The sequence below is a fragment of the Homo sapiens genome, chromosome 7, assembly GCF_000001405.40.
Source record: "Homo sapiens chromosome 7, GRCh38.p14 Primary Assembly".
Taxonomy (NCBI): domain Eukaryota; kingdom Metazoa; phylum Chordata; class Mammalia; order Primates; family Hominidae; genus Homo; species Homo sapiens.
Window position 1 is genome coordinate 109,945,083 of NC_000007.14, and position 18,622 is coordinate 109,963,704.

The window sequence follows — 18,622 nt, forward strand, 5'->3', positions numbered from 1 at the left end:
GCAACACAGTAGTAGGTGAAACATTTTAGTGAGGGTAATAATTAAGATGTTAAATTCCCACATACTTGAGGGAGACAGTGGGTGTAGAGGGGAGAGATGCAAGACCTCATTCCATGGAAAAATGAGGTGCCTGGGCTTCAAAGTTCTTTTTGAGCGTACACTAGCAGACAATCACCACTGTCCAAGGTGACATCTCTTAGACTCTGAGTCCCTGCACTCCCTATATGCCTCTTAAACTAGTGCTGTGATAAGATTGAGGGGAGCACTGGCCATTCTACTTTGCTGAATTTGCTTCAACTCCTACTGTGATGAAAACACCTGACTGTTGCTATATCCTCAATTCAACCCTTGATAAGATTGTCTGCCTTCAATTTCTGCTGCAAAATAATTTAGCTCTACCCTAGTAGGATGCCTGACAGACCCATAGGCTCTCAACTCAGAATCCACATCTGAATAGAAATAAGGAGCATTCACGTATGCCAGCTAGGGCCTGACCTTGCTCTAGTCTCTTCATTGGCCTGTTACTTTATTTTGTAGTAAGGCTTTGCACAGAGTCTCTTTCTGGTGTCCTAATTCACTAAGGAACAAGGTAAATATTCCACACTTTCTGTACTCCCTTCATTTTATTAAACACATATCTAAAGAAGGTCCCAGTGAACTATGTCTCTGAGCATTCACAGTCTCGTGGATGGACCAACCCTGTAACTCACTTATCATGAAGAAACTCTGGCACAAGTGGCGCTACAAGACTTCTGAGCCTAGGTAAGAAGCAGCATGGTAGTGTTTGCCATGGTCTTTCAGAATGCTTTCTCTGGAGCATATAAGAAATCTGAGTGCTCTGGAACTGCCCTGTGAGGAATCTCAAGTTCCTTATGTTGAGCGTCCACATAGAGAGAGATGGTTAACCAGCCTCAGCACTTCCTGGCACCAGACATACAGGGGAAGAAATCTTTCAAGTACTTTAGCCTCAACAGTAATCTCATTGAAACCCCAAAGGAGCACCATCAGGCTGAACTCATCAGTTGTATGAATCAAAGAAAACAATAACAACTCATTGTTGTAATCTAATGTGCTTTCAGGGGATATGTTCTATAGCAATAGACAAGCAGGACATCTTCTTTTGTTTAAAAGCCAAAGAGGGAAAATTAGGACACCAATCTGTTCTACTCACATGTCTATTTTTCTTCTTTCTTCTCGCAATTCTAGGAGCTATAAATACATGCAGGTGTCATCGTTCTGCTGTTTGTGTTTGAGGATGTGGGGTTTTTGTTGGTGGTGATGGTTCTGGTTTTATTTTGTTTTGCTATTCTTAACAGTAAACTGGTTTCTCCTTTACACTAATAGTCTCTAAATTTGTTTTGATCTTATACTCCTCCAAATAAAAAGACATGTTGAGAATTCATGTGCACATGCCCTGAAGGAAAATATATATATATATATATGATAGAATGTGGGAAGCAGAGAAGAAAAGAAGAACCGAAAGCAAAAGTACAATTTCAGGAAAGTCTTGAGGGGAGTGCTTTAGCCTGATTCCGCAAAGAATTCCTGGAGTGTCAATTCTGTGTCAAAAATTTGTTCTGGCTTAAGGCAGAGGACCTGAGCTTTCATAACCTACACTGATTTGTCTCTAACTAAGGGCTTTCTGAGGAGGTGGCAATGGGAAGACAAATTCTGAGGACTTCTAGTTTCAACAGGCCAAGCATCTGCAGTAGCAGCTCTATGAAGAGCCACAGTTGTGCACTATTGAAAGAAAAAGTGGGCAGACGCTGGGAATCAAAAACAGTGAAAGAAAGTAAAGGGAATTTCATTGGCACCAGCAATATCCATATATACCCCAATATATGTTATGGTGGCAAACATAAAAGATGATAAAAAGACATTGCTTTAGGAACAGCCTCACAGGGTGGATTGTACAGAAATCACCCCAGAAGAATTATTTTCTTCTTCTTCTTTTTCAGGTACTCCTAGAAATTCAGCTAACAAATCAAAAACTGATCTAAGACAAATGGCTTTCAGAAAAGATTCCTCCTTCCTCTTCTCCCTACTTCTTCTCCTCCTCCAAGCCAGACTGGGATACAAGTAACACATATAAAACATTCCAGCAGCTCACATTAATGAGTTCATGAAAACCTAATCGTTATCTACTCTCTATATTAAAATTATATCTCACAGGTTTACATTAGAGTCTTCTTAATATTTGTTATAAAAGGGAGACTCTATTATAGTACCACAGTAACATAGCTATCTGCTCACCAACTACTTATCAGTGTGAGTGCCATTGCCCTTCTCAGGATGCCTATTTACTTTTAATAAAGTAATCTTGACATATGTAAAGCAAGTCAAACAGATAAATACTGAATCAGATAAATCTAAAACATATTTACTTAAAAAAAGTTTTTCTATCATGACAGTGTCATGACATCAATGGCTATTACTGCAAGACACAAGAAACTTCTAGGCCAGATTAGTTGATATGGACTGAAGATGTCTTTACTAATAAAATTTCCTACTATAGACGTAAATTTCCTTTACAAAAGGGCAGCTTTTCAGAGCTGCTCCTATGTCTGTGGTTTCTCAAAATAATCTGCTCCAAATATGCCAAAGAACTATGTGTTGCGATGACATATTCTGGTTTTCCACAGTAATGTTTTGGGGGTGGTGTGTCCTGCCTCCCAACATATCCATCCTGCCATATTTCTTGTTGTTTGTTTTGCTGCCTACTCTACTTGCATTGTAGGTATTACCTTCAACATATGGCCTCTTTGCATAAATAGTTAAAGCAATTTATAATTTCATAGGGTTCATTTGGTTGAATTGGGAGGGTATAATCTGTAAATCCACTTCACAGGCGCATATTACTGCACTATGTCACACTATGCTGAAGATAAACCAACTGGGGAGGACATCATTACCATTACTTATTATTGGAGAACCCCTATGATTGCCTCTGAGTAGCTCATAGAACATAGAGGACATTTGACCACCTAACACAGGGGACAGAATTAGGACACCTTTTAAACTCTATGAATTAAAATTAGTAAAGTATAATGTCTTATTTATGTTTAAATAAATCTAAAATTTAAATGTAGGAACTAGTATTTTCTTCCTACACCCAAGTCAACTTACCTGGTATAACATACCAGGGTTTACGTACTTCACTTTTCTTTCTCCTACCTTTTTTTCCCCAATTTCAACCAAACTATAAGTAGGCCAACATCATCATCATCACCTAATAACTCCCATTCTGCCCTCCTGCCATCTGTGGTTCCTCTAAACTACTCTGAATGTGCCTCTTCTGGATATGTCGTGTAAGTGGAATCACAGAACATTTATCCTCTTGTGTAAGCATTTCTTAGCTCTGCAGTAGCCGGAAACCTCCTTTGTTTTTCTGGAGTGATACATTTTGTTGCCTCTTTACTACAAGTCCCACTAGCTTCTTTTTCACTCATTCTCAATAAATGTTTGATACTTTTCCATCTCATTATAAAGTTAATACCTTGTAATTTTTTTTTTTTTTTTTTTTTTTTTTTTGAGATGGAGTCTCGCTCTGTCACCCAGGCTGGAGTGCAGTGGCGCGATCTTGGCTCACTGCAAGCTCCACCTCCCGGGTTCACGCCATTCTCCTGCCTCAGCCTCCCAAGTAGCTGGGACTACAGTTGCCTGCCACCATACCCAGTTAATTTTTGTATTTTTAGTAGAGACAGGGTTTCACCATGTTAGCCAGGATGGTCTTGATCTCCTGACATCGTGATCTGCCCGCCTTGGCCTCCCAAAGTGCTGGGATTACAGGCTTGAGCCACCGCGCCTGGCCAATACTTTGTAATTTTATGTAAAATATTACATACTATAAAAATACATATATGGATGAACATACAGAAATTTTCCACAATCTATCTGAAAATATAGGTAATATATTTTCCATTATGAGGTGAGTTGAGAGAAAAAAGTTTCTTATTTATAATATTAATTAATGAGATAGCACATTATACTTAATTTGCATATCTTACTGGAAGCTAAAACATGCCAGTTGAGCAACTGTCTTAATTAATTGTCGTTCAGTGAACCACAGTGCACTGCATTTCGTAAAGAAATAAGATAGACCACTGACTGTTTAATTCTCTTTAGCACAAGAGTTACAAATCATACTAAAAAACATTAAAATAATTACTAAGTTATATACTCACATACACATACACAAACATATATAATTCTAGCTGTTCATTTGAAACAAGAAAGTAAATTGTTTTTATATTTTCTTTTAAATTGGCATATAACAAAATTACTTCTTTTTTAGTAGTTTTATTCAAAAATCTATTTCACCAATTGTTCACTTTAGAAAATGCTAAACAAATTATTTTAATAAAATTACTCCCAATTTGGCTTAGAAAGTTTGATTATAAATTAGAAAATTGAAACAACACTCAGAATTTGAAATACAAAATTAAAAAATTTCTTTTTTCCTAAAGATGTGTTCATAGCACATGATCAGATAATAACAAATAAACTTACGTAGTTTTTTGTGGCCATTTTTTAATTTACCAAGTACTCAGAAAATGTGATGTGGATTCTTTGATTTTTATATTAATAGTAGCTTCAATTATTTGTTCTGAGCCTCTTTGTTTTTTGTTTGTTTTTTGAGATGGAGTCTTGCTCTGTCGCCCAGGCTGGAGTACAGTGGTGCTTTCTCGGCTCACTGCAACCTCTACCTTCCAGGTTCAAGCGATTCTCCTATCTCAGCCTCTGGAGTAGGTAGGACTTCAGGCACACACCACCACACCCCGCTAATTTCTGTATTTTTAGTAGAGACAGGGTTTTGCCATGTTAGCCAGACTGGTCTTGAACTTCTGACCTCCGGTGATCCACCTGCCTCGATCTCCCAAAGTGCTGGAATTACAGGCGTGAGCCACTGCGCCCAGCCTGTTCTGAGCCTCTTTCATTGAAAATTCCCATTATTAAAAAAAACAGAGGAACATAATTTCTTCACGAGCGGTATGTGTATAGTAATGGACTGTAGGGGAGAAAAAAACTTTTCTGTCTACCCTCTGAAGTTGATAATCAAGTCTATAAAATAAACTGACAGTAAACAGATTAACAACAGAAAAGGCAAACACATTTATTACATGCATGGGGCATCATCAAAGGAAAGAAGTGTGTACCCCAAAAGCCACTGAGACCTAAAAGCTGCATACACTCTTTGTAGGGGAGACTGGAGGGGAGATGTAGGCAACTTAAGGGAGAGTGAATAATTTTGGAGAAAAATCAATGGGCTCTCCAAAGAACAGGTGATAGTCCGGGTGGTGTCAAATTTCAGTCTCTTCTTCTGTGATACAGTTAATCTTTTGTGGGTAATGGATTACTAGGGTGCAGACTCATGACAATTGCATTTCTTCTGTCTGTAGTCAGATAAGGGAACATCACAGAAAGCCCCTCCCTGTGCTCAGAAGAAAAGAGGAATGAGAAACAGGAGAGTAGAGAAGGTCCGAGAGACACTGGTTCTGAGGCTGCTTCTGAAGCCTTCCAATCTTTAGTTCAAAGTACTCTGCCTGCCAAGGTGTCATGCTTTCAGATATTATTTTCTGAGTCCCAACAAGGCCATCAGGAAATTCTGTCTTCACAGAATCATCAACTTGTTGGCTTCTGTATACATCACTGTGATAGAACTCTCTGTAGCTTCTAGAGACTGGCATAACTTTGAGTTTGTACATTATAGTGCTATTCACTCAAATAAAAGAGTTAATGTTTATAGTGCTCTCTCTGCCAAAAATTTTGCTTGATCTTTTTTCATGCGTTATCTCATTTAATCCTAATAATCCTTTGAGGATAGGTACTACTATAAGCGACCTTCTTTTTCAGGCAAAGAAGCCAAGCTTCAGAGACATTAAGTGTGTGAAAGGAAAATAAAAACTTGAGATCCCAATTCATTATGCCAAAAGTAAAACATTAAGCTGAAAGCTGAGTCATGCAAGAAAATGCCTTTCCTTTTGTTCCTCAGTAGACAGCTACAGAAAAAAGTTTAAATATCTCCACAGATTCACCTTATCTTATGTAAAGTGCATATATATTGAGTGTAAGACTAATGCATAATTGACTATTCCCCTACCTGTTTCTTTTCCCTTGCAAGATGTGGATTGCCCTACCCTCCCTCTTTCCCCTCCAACCCACTCTTCCCTTTTAAATATTAAAGCCCTCAAAATTATCTTTGAAGAAAGGCACAGACCATAGACTGTTTCTGTGATCCCTTGTTTATTTCTTCTGGGCATTGTTCTTAACTTTGGCAAAATAAACTTCTAAATTGATTGAGACCTGTCTCAGATACTTTTCTGTTTACAAGTTGTCAGAGACATTTGAACCAGAGCAACTCCATCTTGAATAGGGGCTGAATAAAATAAGGCTGAGTCGTGCTGGGCTGCATTCCCAGTAAGTTAGGCATTCTAAGTCACAGGATGACATAGGAGGCTGGCACAAGATACAGGTCATAAAGACCTTGCTGATAAAGCAGGTTGCAGTAAAGAACCTGTGGCCCGAACCCACCAAAAACAAAATGGCCATGAAAGTGACCTCTGGTCAATCTCACTGCTCGTGATATGCTAATCGTAATGCATTAATATACTAAATGGCACTCCCACCAGCGTCATGACAATCTACAAATGCCATGACAATGGCAGGAAGTTACCAAATATAGTCTAAAAAGGGGAGGAACCCTTAGTTCTGGTAATTGACCACCCCTTTGCCAGAAAACTCATGAATAGTTCACCCCTTGTTTAGCATATAATCAAGAAATAACCATAACCATAAAAAATGGGCAAACAGCAGCCCTTGGGGCTGCTCTGTTTATGGAATAGCCACTCTTTATTTTCTCAATGAACTTGCTTTACTTTACTCTATGAATTCACCTCAAATTTTTCGTGGGGTCCAAGAACCCTCTCTTGGGGTCTGGATCAGGACCCCTTTCCAAGGTCACACAAGTATGATTCTCATGAAATCATTTGACTGATGAACAAATGGTTTCCTCCACACATCAGGATGCTGGTGTCAATGGCTATCAAAATGATAATGCCAATGGTATTATCTTTCTCCCATAACTTCTTCACTTCAAAAGATGGTGTACTTTTGTGCAATAAAAATCTGTTTAGATATGTGAATGGTATTTCAAACTCTTCTGTTGTTACCCTAAATCATTCTGCCAGATACCCTAAATCATCTCTCTCAAGTTCAAAGCCCCAAATATCTCTAGGGTAGGGGCAAAATGCTGCCAGTCTTTTTGCTAAAGCATAACAAGAGTCACTTCTATTCAAGTTCCCAAAAAGTTCCTCATCTCCATCTGAGACCATCTCAGCCTGGACATTATTGTCCATGTCACTGTCAGCATTTTGGGAAAAGGCATTCAATAAGTCTCTAGGAAGTTTCAAACTTTCCCACATCTTCCCATCTTCTGAGCCCTCCAAATCTCTTGGAAGCTCCAAAGTTTCCAGCATTTTCCTGTCTTCTTCTGAGCCCTCCAAACTGTTCTAACCTCTGCCTGTTACCCAGTTTCAAAGTTGCTTCCACATTTTTGGGTATCTTTACAGCAGTGCCCCACTCCCAGTACCAATATACTATATTAGTTTGTTCTCATGCTGCTAATAAAGACATACCAAAGACTGGGTAATTTATAAAGGAAAAAGGTTTAATTGATTCAAAGTTCAGCATGGCTGGAGAGGCATCAGGAAACTTACAATCATGGCAGAAGGAGAAGAAAACACATCCTTCTTCACATGGCAGCAGCAAGGAGAAGGGCAGAGTGAAAGCTGGAGAAAAGCTCCTTATAAAATTATCAGATCTCATGAGAACTCACTATCATGAGAACAGCATGGAGGTAACCACCCCCATGATTCAATTACCTCCCATCAGGTTCATCCCATGATGTGGGGATTATGAGAACTGCTGTTCAATGTGAGATTTGGGTGGGGACACAAGCAAACATATTAGAGGACTTCTCAGATAAGTTTGCAGGAAATAAATGCTTCATCTGAGCTCATTTATCATGTATTCACCTTTAGCTCCTGACACATTCCCAGTAAATGGTGATATTGGCAAACTAATTTAATTTCATATTCTTTATTTAGGCATAAAGCATATTTACATGTTTCCTAAATTACTATAAAATTTTATATTGGTTATTAATTTCAGTTAATTTTTTAATCCAGCTTTAAAACATATATAATTGTAGCAAATATCAAATAATGGAAAGCTAATTTATTGGTCAGCTAGTTTTGGAATTAAAGAAAAATTAAACACTTAAAACATGTTTTTAAAATGGCTGTTTTAGGGTAGAGAAACTGAATCCCAGAACCTAAGCGGAGCAGTTGAAATAAAGAGTTTTTCTTCTTCCACACCAATACCTGAGAAGGTTATACTTTTTCCCAGGCCACTCCCGACACTTCTCCTTGGTTCTAGATGCTATGTTGTGCCATGGTAAGACGGTACCTAGACTGTAGCAGGAAGATGCTGTCTACAGTGAACTTGGTTGGACAGAGGATCCAGACCTTCCAGTAACAGCCAAGAGAGAAGAAGCCCACTACAGCCCATGTGGGAGAAAATACAGAAAGCAACTCTGTAAATCAATTGGAACAGGCTGATTCTAGAGGGAAGTCAACTTACAATTGCAGTATTTCCTGCTAGCCCCACTTCTCCCCCTCGCCCCGCCCCTGCCTCCGCCCCACCCCGCCCTCTCGCCTTTGACTTGAGGGCAGGCCCAAATTGAGAAACTTAGCTACAGGCCTAAACATCAAAGCATCCTAGGGAAATCCATCCTCCTGCCTGGATAACTGGGAAAAAGAGACTTTGTGAGCTGATAAGTATGGAGGAAATCCCTTCTGTTTCTCTATCTCTTGCTATCTCTTCCTCTCCCTCTCTCTCTTTTCTCTACCACTTTCTTCCCAAGGTCGTCGATCTGCACAGTTGCAGAGGAGGTAGCTTCGTATCTAAAATTCAAGAGAAAATAATTTCTCTGTGTAGAGAAATAAGAAAAAGAGTCCCAATGGGGCAAAAACGATTGAAATAATTATTGTTATTTCTCTCTCTCTTTTTAAATACTTCACCAAAGATGGGTTCAGCAGGTAAAACTGTGCAGTAATATGGAAGGTTAAAATGCTAAAAGAACATCTCACTTGCCAGTGAAACTGGAAAAAAGGACTCTGTGAGCCTACAAGTGTGAAGGATATCCTGGAGAAGAGACATATAGAGAAGAGGATCTTCTAATTCTGGGTATGAACCTATACAAGCCTCACGGTCATCCTCAAACTCTATGTATGCATGTAATGCCTCTGAGAAACATAACAAAGGCTTTGTGAATTGAACTATAATCTACACTAACACCTAAGTCACAAACACCTGCAAGGAGTATAACGGGGCAGAAGCAAACAGCAAAGAAAAGGTTTTGAAATCTGACACTATAATGTAAATGAGGTGAAACACAGCATATAGTGTAAACCTAAATAGATATATTGCCAGCTAAAACAACAAGACTAACAAAACCAAGAGCTAAATAGTATGGGTAACAAATAGAACTTTCATACATTGCTGATAGAGATACACTTTTGAAAATAGTTTAAAAATTTAATATAAATTTAAACATACTCTTAACATATGACCCAGAAATTCTATTTCTAAATATTTACCCACATAAAATGTAAGCCTTTTATTTGCTTCCAAAACTATTTTAGGGAATATCATTAGGAAATGATCTAATCCTAACCAATTCTAGTTTTCTTTAGTTCATTTGTTTGGTCATTTATAAAAATGAAATGTATAAAATAAATACAGGATGGATTTTGTATCCTGTTCAAGAGCTTTATTCAAAATCACCAAAATCTGTAAATAAGCCAGTGTTCCTTAACTAGGTGTGTTAGTTTTCTTTGTATTGCTATAAAGGTATACCTGGGTCTGGGTATTTTATAAAGAAGAGAAGTTTACTTGGCTCGTAGTTCTGCAGGCTGTGCAAGAAGCATGGTGCCAGTAACTGCTTCTGGTTAGCACCTCAGGAAGCTTTCAATTTTGGTAGAAGGGGAAGGGGAACTGGCCATATGGCAACAGGACCAAGAGAGAGGAGGGGGTGGTGCTACACTGTTAAACAACCAGATCTCATGTGAAGGAGTAGAACAAGAACTCACAGGGAAGGCACCAACCCATTCACAAGGGATCCACCAACATGACCCAAACATGTCCCACTAGGCCCCACCTCCTACACTGGGAATCACATTTCAATACGAGATTTGGAGGGGACAAATGTCCAAAACGTATCACTAGGGGATGGAGAAATAAGTGGTGATATATCCAAAAATGGAATATTACTCAGCAAATAAAGGGAACAAACTATTTATGTATAAATGAATGAATCTCAAATGTTTTATGCTATTTGACAGTATCTAGACTCAAAATTTTACATACTATATGAGTCAACATATATGACATTTTGAAAAAAAAATCACTGTAGGGATGGAAAATAGTGTTTACTAAGCATTAAAAGGAAGCAGAAGGCCAGGTGTGGTGGCTCACACCTGTAATCCCTTGACCTTTGGGAGGTCATGGCAGGAGGATCACTTGAGACCAGGAGTTCAAGACCAGCCAGGGCAATAGAGTAAGACCTCATCTCTACAAACAAATTAATAAATTAGCCACTTGTGATGGCTCATGTTTGTAGTCCCAGCTACTCGGGAAGCTGAAGTGGGAAGATCACTTGAGCTCAGGAGGTAGACGTGGTAGTGAGCAGAGATTGCACCACTGCACTCCAGCTTGGGCAACAGAGTGAAATCTTGTCTTAAAAAAAAAAAAAAGAGAGAGAGAGAGAGACAGAGAGTGAGCAGAAGGCTTAAATAGAAAGAGGTATTATGAGAAAAACCCATGACTTGATAGAACTGTTCTCTTTCCTGTTGGTGGTGTTAGTCACATTACCTAATTTTGAAAATTCATACAACTGTATACCAAAAGAGTTAATTTTTTTCATTCAAATTTTGTAAAAACTGGCTGAATATCAGTTAAAACTAGTACTTTGTAATTTTTAAAAACTAACAAAACAGAAATAAGATAAACTGAAATGTTCAAACACTATCTCTAAATGCCAAACTAAATTGACTGTTTGAGATTAAGTTGGTTTGCCTGCCAAGCCTGAGACTCTAATTTACTAGTTGATATAGTAAGGCTATTAAGACAAATGCAAAATGAGGCAAATAAGGTTATTTTGGTGAGTGAGAAGATGATGGCTTTTGCTTACTGACTTTGCATCTTACTGACTTTGCATCAGTACTTTTGAACATATAAATATTGCCATTCTTTTTAATATGAAAAGTACTGAGGTGAAAATCTAAGTAATTTCATTTCTGTCAATGAGGGTTTCTGGAAAATAATGTCAGATTTTCATTTTATTTTACATATTTTATTTTTATAAATGACCAAACAAATGAACTAAAGAAAACTAAAATTGGTTAGGATTGGATCATTTCTTAATATTTCCTAAAATAACTGTGGAAGCAAGTTTAGTGACTGTTATCATACTCTCCTCGGCTGCAGGATGTTTAAGTACCTCCTAGCTGAAAATTTCCACAGATTGAAGAGATCTGACTTGCCCAAGGTCACGACTACTCTCCAGGGAAAGGCCATATCCAGTGAATGATCAATAAAGGAATTTAAAAGCCTAGACCCCTTGCCTCACAGCAAAACAACTGTGAAAGGCTATTGAGCACTAGACCTCAGCTTGGTGTCAGCTGAGCCTTTTGTAGCAATTCCATCAGAGGTAAACTTCTTCCTTTTACTTTCTTTCTGTTTTTTTTTTTTTTAATGTTCCCAGATATGGATCTGAAGGGTAGTCACTAATACATTTTCTAAATGCAAATCTCCACATCAGAGTCTGTTTTCTTAGAAATCTGACCTATAGAGTTGGCTCCAGAAAGGGTGTGAGGAGGCAGACTCTGAAAGGAGATATTGGAGCTGTTTCACCTTCTGACTGGCTGCAGATGAGGAATCCAGCTGTGATGGTATGTGAAGTGTTGGGAGACCTGGCATGCTGCAGTAATGTGATTGTTAAAACTTCACAGGTGGAAGGAAATTCATTGGCAGGTGCAATGTTTCAGGCTGAGAAAATGATTTCAGAAATTATAGAATTGGATGGGGTATATAATGTGCTGGAGAAAAACAATGCAAGACTGAGGTTGATTAATCACTAGTGAAACATTAAGTGTGAAAATTCTGGCAGCAAATAAAGACGTTCTCATCTCCCATAACTGAAAGGTTGAAGAAGGCAAGGATGAAGTTCATATTTTAACCTTTACAGGGAGAAGAGGTTGAGAGCAGGTTGAACTCTCAATCCTGGAAGGCCTTCTATGCCAATATGAGGGCCTTGATTAGGAAGGAGTGAGATCTTGAGATGTGAGATAGGGACATTCATGTTGATGCATTTGAAACTTAAATTACTAGATTCCGCTTAAGTCTTTGACCTTCAGTGGTAGCTCACTCCTTTCTATTAAAGGCTAGCACTCCCTGTGCTTAAAGATGATGGAAATGATTGTTTCTTGCAATAAAATACAAACTCTATCAGAATTTATTGCCGTCTGCTCTTCTGGCCACCAGTATGTCTCAATATAACCTGACCAGGAAAGTCCTGGGTCTTTCGGAAGAGAAAAAGACCAACCTCAAAGGAGCTACAGAACATATATCAGTACAGAACACATATCAGCAACATATATCAGTAGGCTGCAATAGAGTATGCATGGGATTTGATCCTGAGAGTACTGAATCAAGGAGGATTTATAAAAAAAAAAGTTTATTAATATTGGGAAAGTCTTCCATAACATAGAATTTCACACCCTAACAAGGACCCAGGAAATAATGATATCATAAGGGCTCTCAGCAGCATGAAGAAAGTGATAGACCATATTATATGCAAGACAGGTGCCAGAATTCTTATCAAAAGTAGTAAAAGAAGGGATTCAAAAGGTTCAGAGATGCATGCTAGAGGAATATACTGTGTAAGTCACCAGATGACTGTCACACGTGAGATCTCAGAGGACACTGAATTTACCAGTGATCTGGAATACACTGATGAGAAGTGCACCAATATAATTGAAAAACTCAGGGATGGCCATCTTTTGTAAGCCAGGGAAGATGGTGGAAGATGCTCTCATAGAACTGGGTTCACTGGTAACAAGGGAGATCCCAAAATAATAGATGCTAAGTGGCTATGCTTAACCATCAGAAGGAATGTGTGCACGATTGCTGTAATAAGCAGCAAAATCAAAGTGGAAGCCAGGAGACTCTGGCCCGCAGAAAGCTATTCAGTTCCTAGGGGTAGGAAAACAAAGATTGTTTCTCAATTGTAATAATAAAATATATTAAGGATGAGTGACCTGGAGCATGGGGGCAGGTATCTCAATAAAATGTCACAATAGTTTCCGGACCTGAGCGAAATCTCAGATCTGGAAACCAGATTTTGATTGGCCAAAAAAGAAGCTAGGTCTTGATAAGGAAGTATTCTGCAATACTATGGCAAGTGTATATGGCAATGAATTCCTCTGTTTTCTTCCAAAGCAACCTATGACCAGGACAAGCTTCATGGGCCTATCATTTGCCTCTGTACTCAGAAGGGTTCTGTCCTTGGTTTAATGCTCTGCTGTTATTATCCTGAAATTCTTATTAATTTTTTCTTTGACTCTGTTTTTTTTTTTTTTAATTACCAAATGTATTTATTTCTCAGAGTTCAAAACATTATGTGAGAAGCTTTCCTGGCCTAGATAGAGATCCAGCTTCTTATGCCTAAAACTCAAATTTGAAGTATTTTATTCATGTCCCTGCAAGGGACATGAAATCATTCACAGAAAACCAAACACTACATGTTCTCACTCATAAGTGGGAGTTGAACAATGAGAACATATGGGCACAGGGAGGGAAAAATCACACAGCGGGGCCTGTCAGGGGCTGGGAGGCAAGGGGAGGGGTAGCGTTAGAAGAAATACCTAATGTAGATGATTGGTTGATGGGTGCAGCAAACCACCATGGCACATGTATACCTATGTAACAAACCTGCACGTTCTGCCCATGTATCCCAGAACTTAAATATAATAAAAAAGAAAAAGAAAAAAATAAGAATTCATAAAAGGTAGAGGTTGAAAAAAAAATTCAAAGTACTGTAGGTTGAAGTAGTAGATTATGGTTGTAACCATCCTCACTGCCACTGCTGTAGCTCTTGCCATCAGGATGGAAGGCAACACTGTTGATAGGTCCAAAGTGCCCCTTGACTCTTCTGAACTCTTCTTCAAAGGCCAAATGGAGGAACCTGGACTCAAACTTGCCAATCCTAGTGAAGGTTGTGGTTACATCCATGGCTTCCTGACCACCACCCAGCACAATATGGTCACAGTTGGGGGAGAGGGTAGCTGAGCTGATGGGGCTTTCTGTTCAGAAAGTCTTCTGATGTTGAAGAGTCATAGAGTCAAAAAGCTTGGCTGTGCTGTCTTTGGATGCAGTGACAAACACGATCATGTCCCTGGATAACTGGATGTCATTAATCTGCTAGGAGTGCTCCTTAATATTCACCAACACCTCTCCAGGCTTGGCACTATACTGGTTGAGCTTTCCACTCTCATGGCCTGCAATGATGCACTCCCCACAGGAGCCCCAAATGGCACTAGTGATTTTAGAGTCACTGCAAGGGATCTTCAGGTAGCACTCATTGCTGTCAATCTGGCTCAGATCCTGCAGGTCAAAGAAGCTCACAAAGCACTGATAGCTTTTCTGCTTCTCCATGGAGAACGTGATGATATTGCCCCCAAAGTCAAAACTGCAGATCCACACAGTTGAATTGGTCTTGAGTAGGGCCAGCTGTTTCCCTGTTTCACAGGCCCAAAGATGGTTGTCAGCTGAATGGGTGAGGACATGCTTGGTGTCCCAGTCAGCGTCCACATACCACACAGCTCTGGTATGGCCCATGTAGATGCCCAGCCTCTCACCATTCACAGAGTATCATGCATTAATGATAGGTTCCTTGGCCACGGTGAAGAGGAGGTCTCCTTCACAGTTATACTTCACCTGCCTAATGACCTGCTCATGGCCCTACAGTAGGACCAGCTTCATCCCAGCAGTGATGCAAGGAAAGCTGCAACTGATTCTGTGTTTTATATGTCTGATTTAACAAAGACTATGTATGCAAGCAGAGGAGATTGAGTAGGCACCATCTGTGTGCTCTCCCATTCTTGTCATTCCATTTGCACATAGCATTGCTCCATGAGCGCGGAAGTCTAGTGGATCAAGGAAGCACGGGAATTCATTGAGACTCAGAGTGAGTACAAGTGTGTTGCACTTATGACTAGGTAATGTGGTCTCGAAGGCTACATTTTCCAGTTGAATCAAAACTTGCTTTAAACACAGAAGGAAGGCAGTTACATTCTAAGAAAAACAATGTCCAGGGAGCCCTTTTATCTCCCGCCTTACTCTTGTTACTTGCCTGCATTCGTCAACCACTTATGCTAAAAATGATGATGCAGAAGAAAAGAGAGCAATCTGTGTTCCTTTCCTTTAGACATTCCTGACTCATAGTAACCTGAAGGTAGAAAATGTTGGTAGAACGTGTGCATATCAACAAGTAAAATTAAAATGGTTGGGTTTTATGAAGCATCTCCATTTCTGAAAAGAATGAGGTATATATACAATGATGAGTTAGAAAATATGAATTATGTCATTTTGGCAATTCCTCATATGAATTAAATGTTCTCATATTTGCCTTTAAAACTAGCATTGCACAATATTAAGGTGAACAGCAAAATATATGGTAATAATATAAAGTTTTTTTTTTTAACTTTAGGGTAATAAATAGCAAATAAAAAATGCCATGACAAATCTCAGGGTAAAGGGTACCTTTCACCATGATGAAGGAAGGATAATACTTGCTAAGGCTCCTCAGATAATAGACGCAGCATATTCCTCATTTGGGAATACTTCTTCAACCCATATTCTAAGTAATGTAAAAGGCTTCCAGCTTTAAGTAGGACCCAGAGCAGAAAAGAAGTCTGCATCAGGTCTAACCTGTGGAACATACAGCTGGAAAGCACACAGTTATGAGTTCATGGGAAGTTCCCATAGAATAATCACAACATAGACCCATAGCATTCAGGATTATCAATAATGAAGAATAATAAACATTTTTGAAAAATAGCTCCTTGTGAGCTATTGAACCTATTAAAAAATGGAGACACCAGTTAGCCAGAATTGTCCATTAAAAGTTGTATTCTATCAGACACATCAAGTCACAGTACAATGGAAATAATAGATTAGCCATGACTAGAGGCAATCAAAGGGTTATGCAGACGTAAGTAGGATGAGCAAGGGGTCAAGACCCTCATGTTTTCTGACTCTCTTGAACCAGCTTTTCCCTCAGTTCATAGCTATGGCCAAATGGGGGATCCTTTATAACCAGCTGATGGAGGAGAGAATAGTCAAAATTGGTTTAAGGATAAAATTTGGTTCAGACCAATCCTAATGGGAAGAACTGTAAGTGGTTATCTCGGTAATCCACTTTGTACGGAAAGAAAAGTAGTTTGAAATAGAATTGTTATCAACCCTAAGGGAGTATCAAACAACCTAATTGCTTAGTCAGGTGCTTAGAAGAAGAAACATTGATAAATCAGAGCTAAAAAGGTCAGAGGCAAAGCCATGTGGAGAAATCTGTAGGCAGGGGTATAAAGAACTTTGCAGCAGTCAGCCAGTTGATGCCAGTAGCCTTTTTCATTGGCCATGAATGGAGAAAGTAGCACAGTGACAGATAAAGGCTAACAGCCTGGGGTACACTCAACAAAGTTAGTCAAGCTACTACTGCTAAAAAATGTTCAACTTGCAAACAACAAAGACTTAAGCTCAGTTCTACCCATGGCACCATCTTTTGAGGGGTCCAACAAGAAGTCTGGTGGCCAGTTGCTTACATTGGACTATTCCAGCCTGGAAGAGACAGTGATTCATCTTTACTAGAATTTACACACACATGTTCAAGGTAAAGTTTTGCCTAATGTGCTCTTAGGGCCTCAGTCAGCATCACTATCCCATGGGTTTACAGAGTATTTGACCCACTGCACAGGATCCTATACAGTATTGCATAAAAAGCAGTCTATAGAAAAGACCATGTGGTGGTAGCCACATAACCACTGACTCCATCACATACAGCACCAACCAGAAGCTGCTGGCCTGATAAAACAATGAGACATTCTACAGAAGATACAACTGCAGCACCATCTTGGAGATGAGATCCTGAAAGGACGGAATACCATGAACTAGAACAAAATAATACCCTAAACCAGTGACCCATAATATGCCTTCATGTCCTTGTAAAGCAGAATAAACAAGTCCAGAAACAAAAACATAGACACAGAAATGGCTCCACTCACCAACACATCTAGTAATCTACTTATTTTTGCTTAAACATCCCATGGACTCTGAATTATGTGGTTTGTTTATAGGTCCAGATCCTAATGCCAAGAGACCACCAGACAAAATGAAAGAGTCACCATTCTGGCGGGGATAATAGACTGACCATCAGGAGTAGGCAGGCCAAATAAGTGGGGGTAAAGAAGAATATGTTTGGCAACTAGATGAGAGCCCCTGTTGTGATGCTAGCCCAATTTTGTAACAAAAAACAGAAAATACAACAGCCCTGGTCTGAGTAGATCATGGTGACTAGTGGCTCAAATCTAATAGATATAAAACTCTGGGCCATTCTTATAGTTAAGGCACCAAAGTCAGCACAGCTTACAGAAAGGATCAGGGGAATCTCTAATGGGTGATACAGGAGGGAGACAAAGAATATCATTTGCAGCCTCAGAAAAAACTGCAATGAAGTGAGAATAGAAAGTCTGTGATTTATCTCACCATTCTCTCCTATGATGTACTTTTCCAGGAAAAGTGGCACACAAAAATCCTGACAGAGCTCTCTAAGAACTCATGTGATACATGTAGAACCGCACAGGGCAAGCAATGGATGGTAGTGGATGCCCTGGTGAGCCATGCAGGTTACCTGCTGCACCCCAGCCCTGAAACACTCATTTTCCCAGCTATTCGGGAGTGTTGGCAACTCACAGCTCTCACCTGAGTTCCTCTCAGGTCATCATCCTCAGATGAAGTCAAACCTTATTTGAGTCAAAAATTACTTCATTAAGCAAATTTTTTATAACAATGAAACATCAACAGCCTGTTAGACTGAGCAAGAGCAAAGTATACTAGAGTTAATAAACAGGTTCCCATGTTTGCTTTGTCTTGTTTTCCAGACTTATCAGGATGATGGGGCCCATAATGACAGCTAGGGTCTTGTAGTATTAACCTCCTTGTGGTTTACTTTTTTCCCTGATATGCTATGGATTAGCCATGACCAAGATTCTGGTATATGTTTCCTCTCTCCTCTCACAACTCTTGCTGTCTCTTTATTTGATAGAATTTCTCCTGTCTACTACCAGTCCTTTTCCTCTCCTGGAATCCAGAGGCATGTCATTCAACCCCAACTCAGTAACTCAATATCTAGTAATCTTGGAGAAATTTCCTGGACACAAAGTATATGCTTAGAGTGCCAACTTTGCCTTCCTGGATTCCTCATAGTTATGCTCTAACTTCCTAC

At 39.3% G+C, this 18,622-nt stretch overlaps 1 pseudogene across 1 annotated transcript; it reads right to left on the reverse strand.

The window, feature by feature from the left end:
- Positions 1-14,144: 14,144 nt before the first annotated feature.
- Positions 14,145-15,131, reverse strand: EIF3IP1 (eukaryotic translation initiation factor 3 subunit I pseudogene 1; annotated as a pseudogene). The gene has a single exon (NR_003024.1). The product of NR_003024.1 is annotated as a eukaryotic translation initiation factor 3 subunit I pseudogene 1 (transcript).
- Between the last annotated feature and the right edge of the window lie 3,491 nt (positions 15,132-18,622).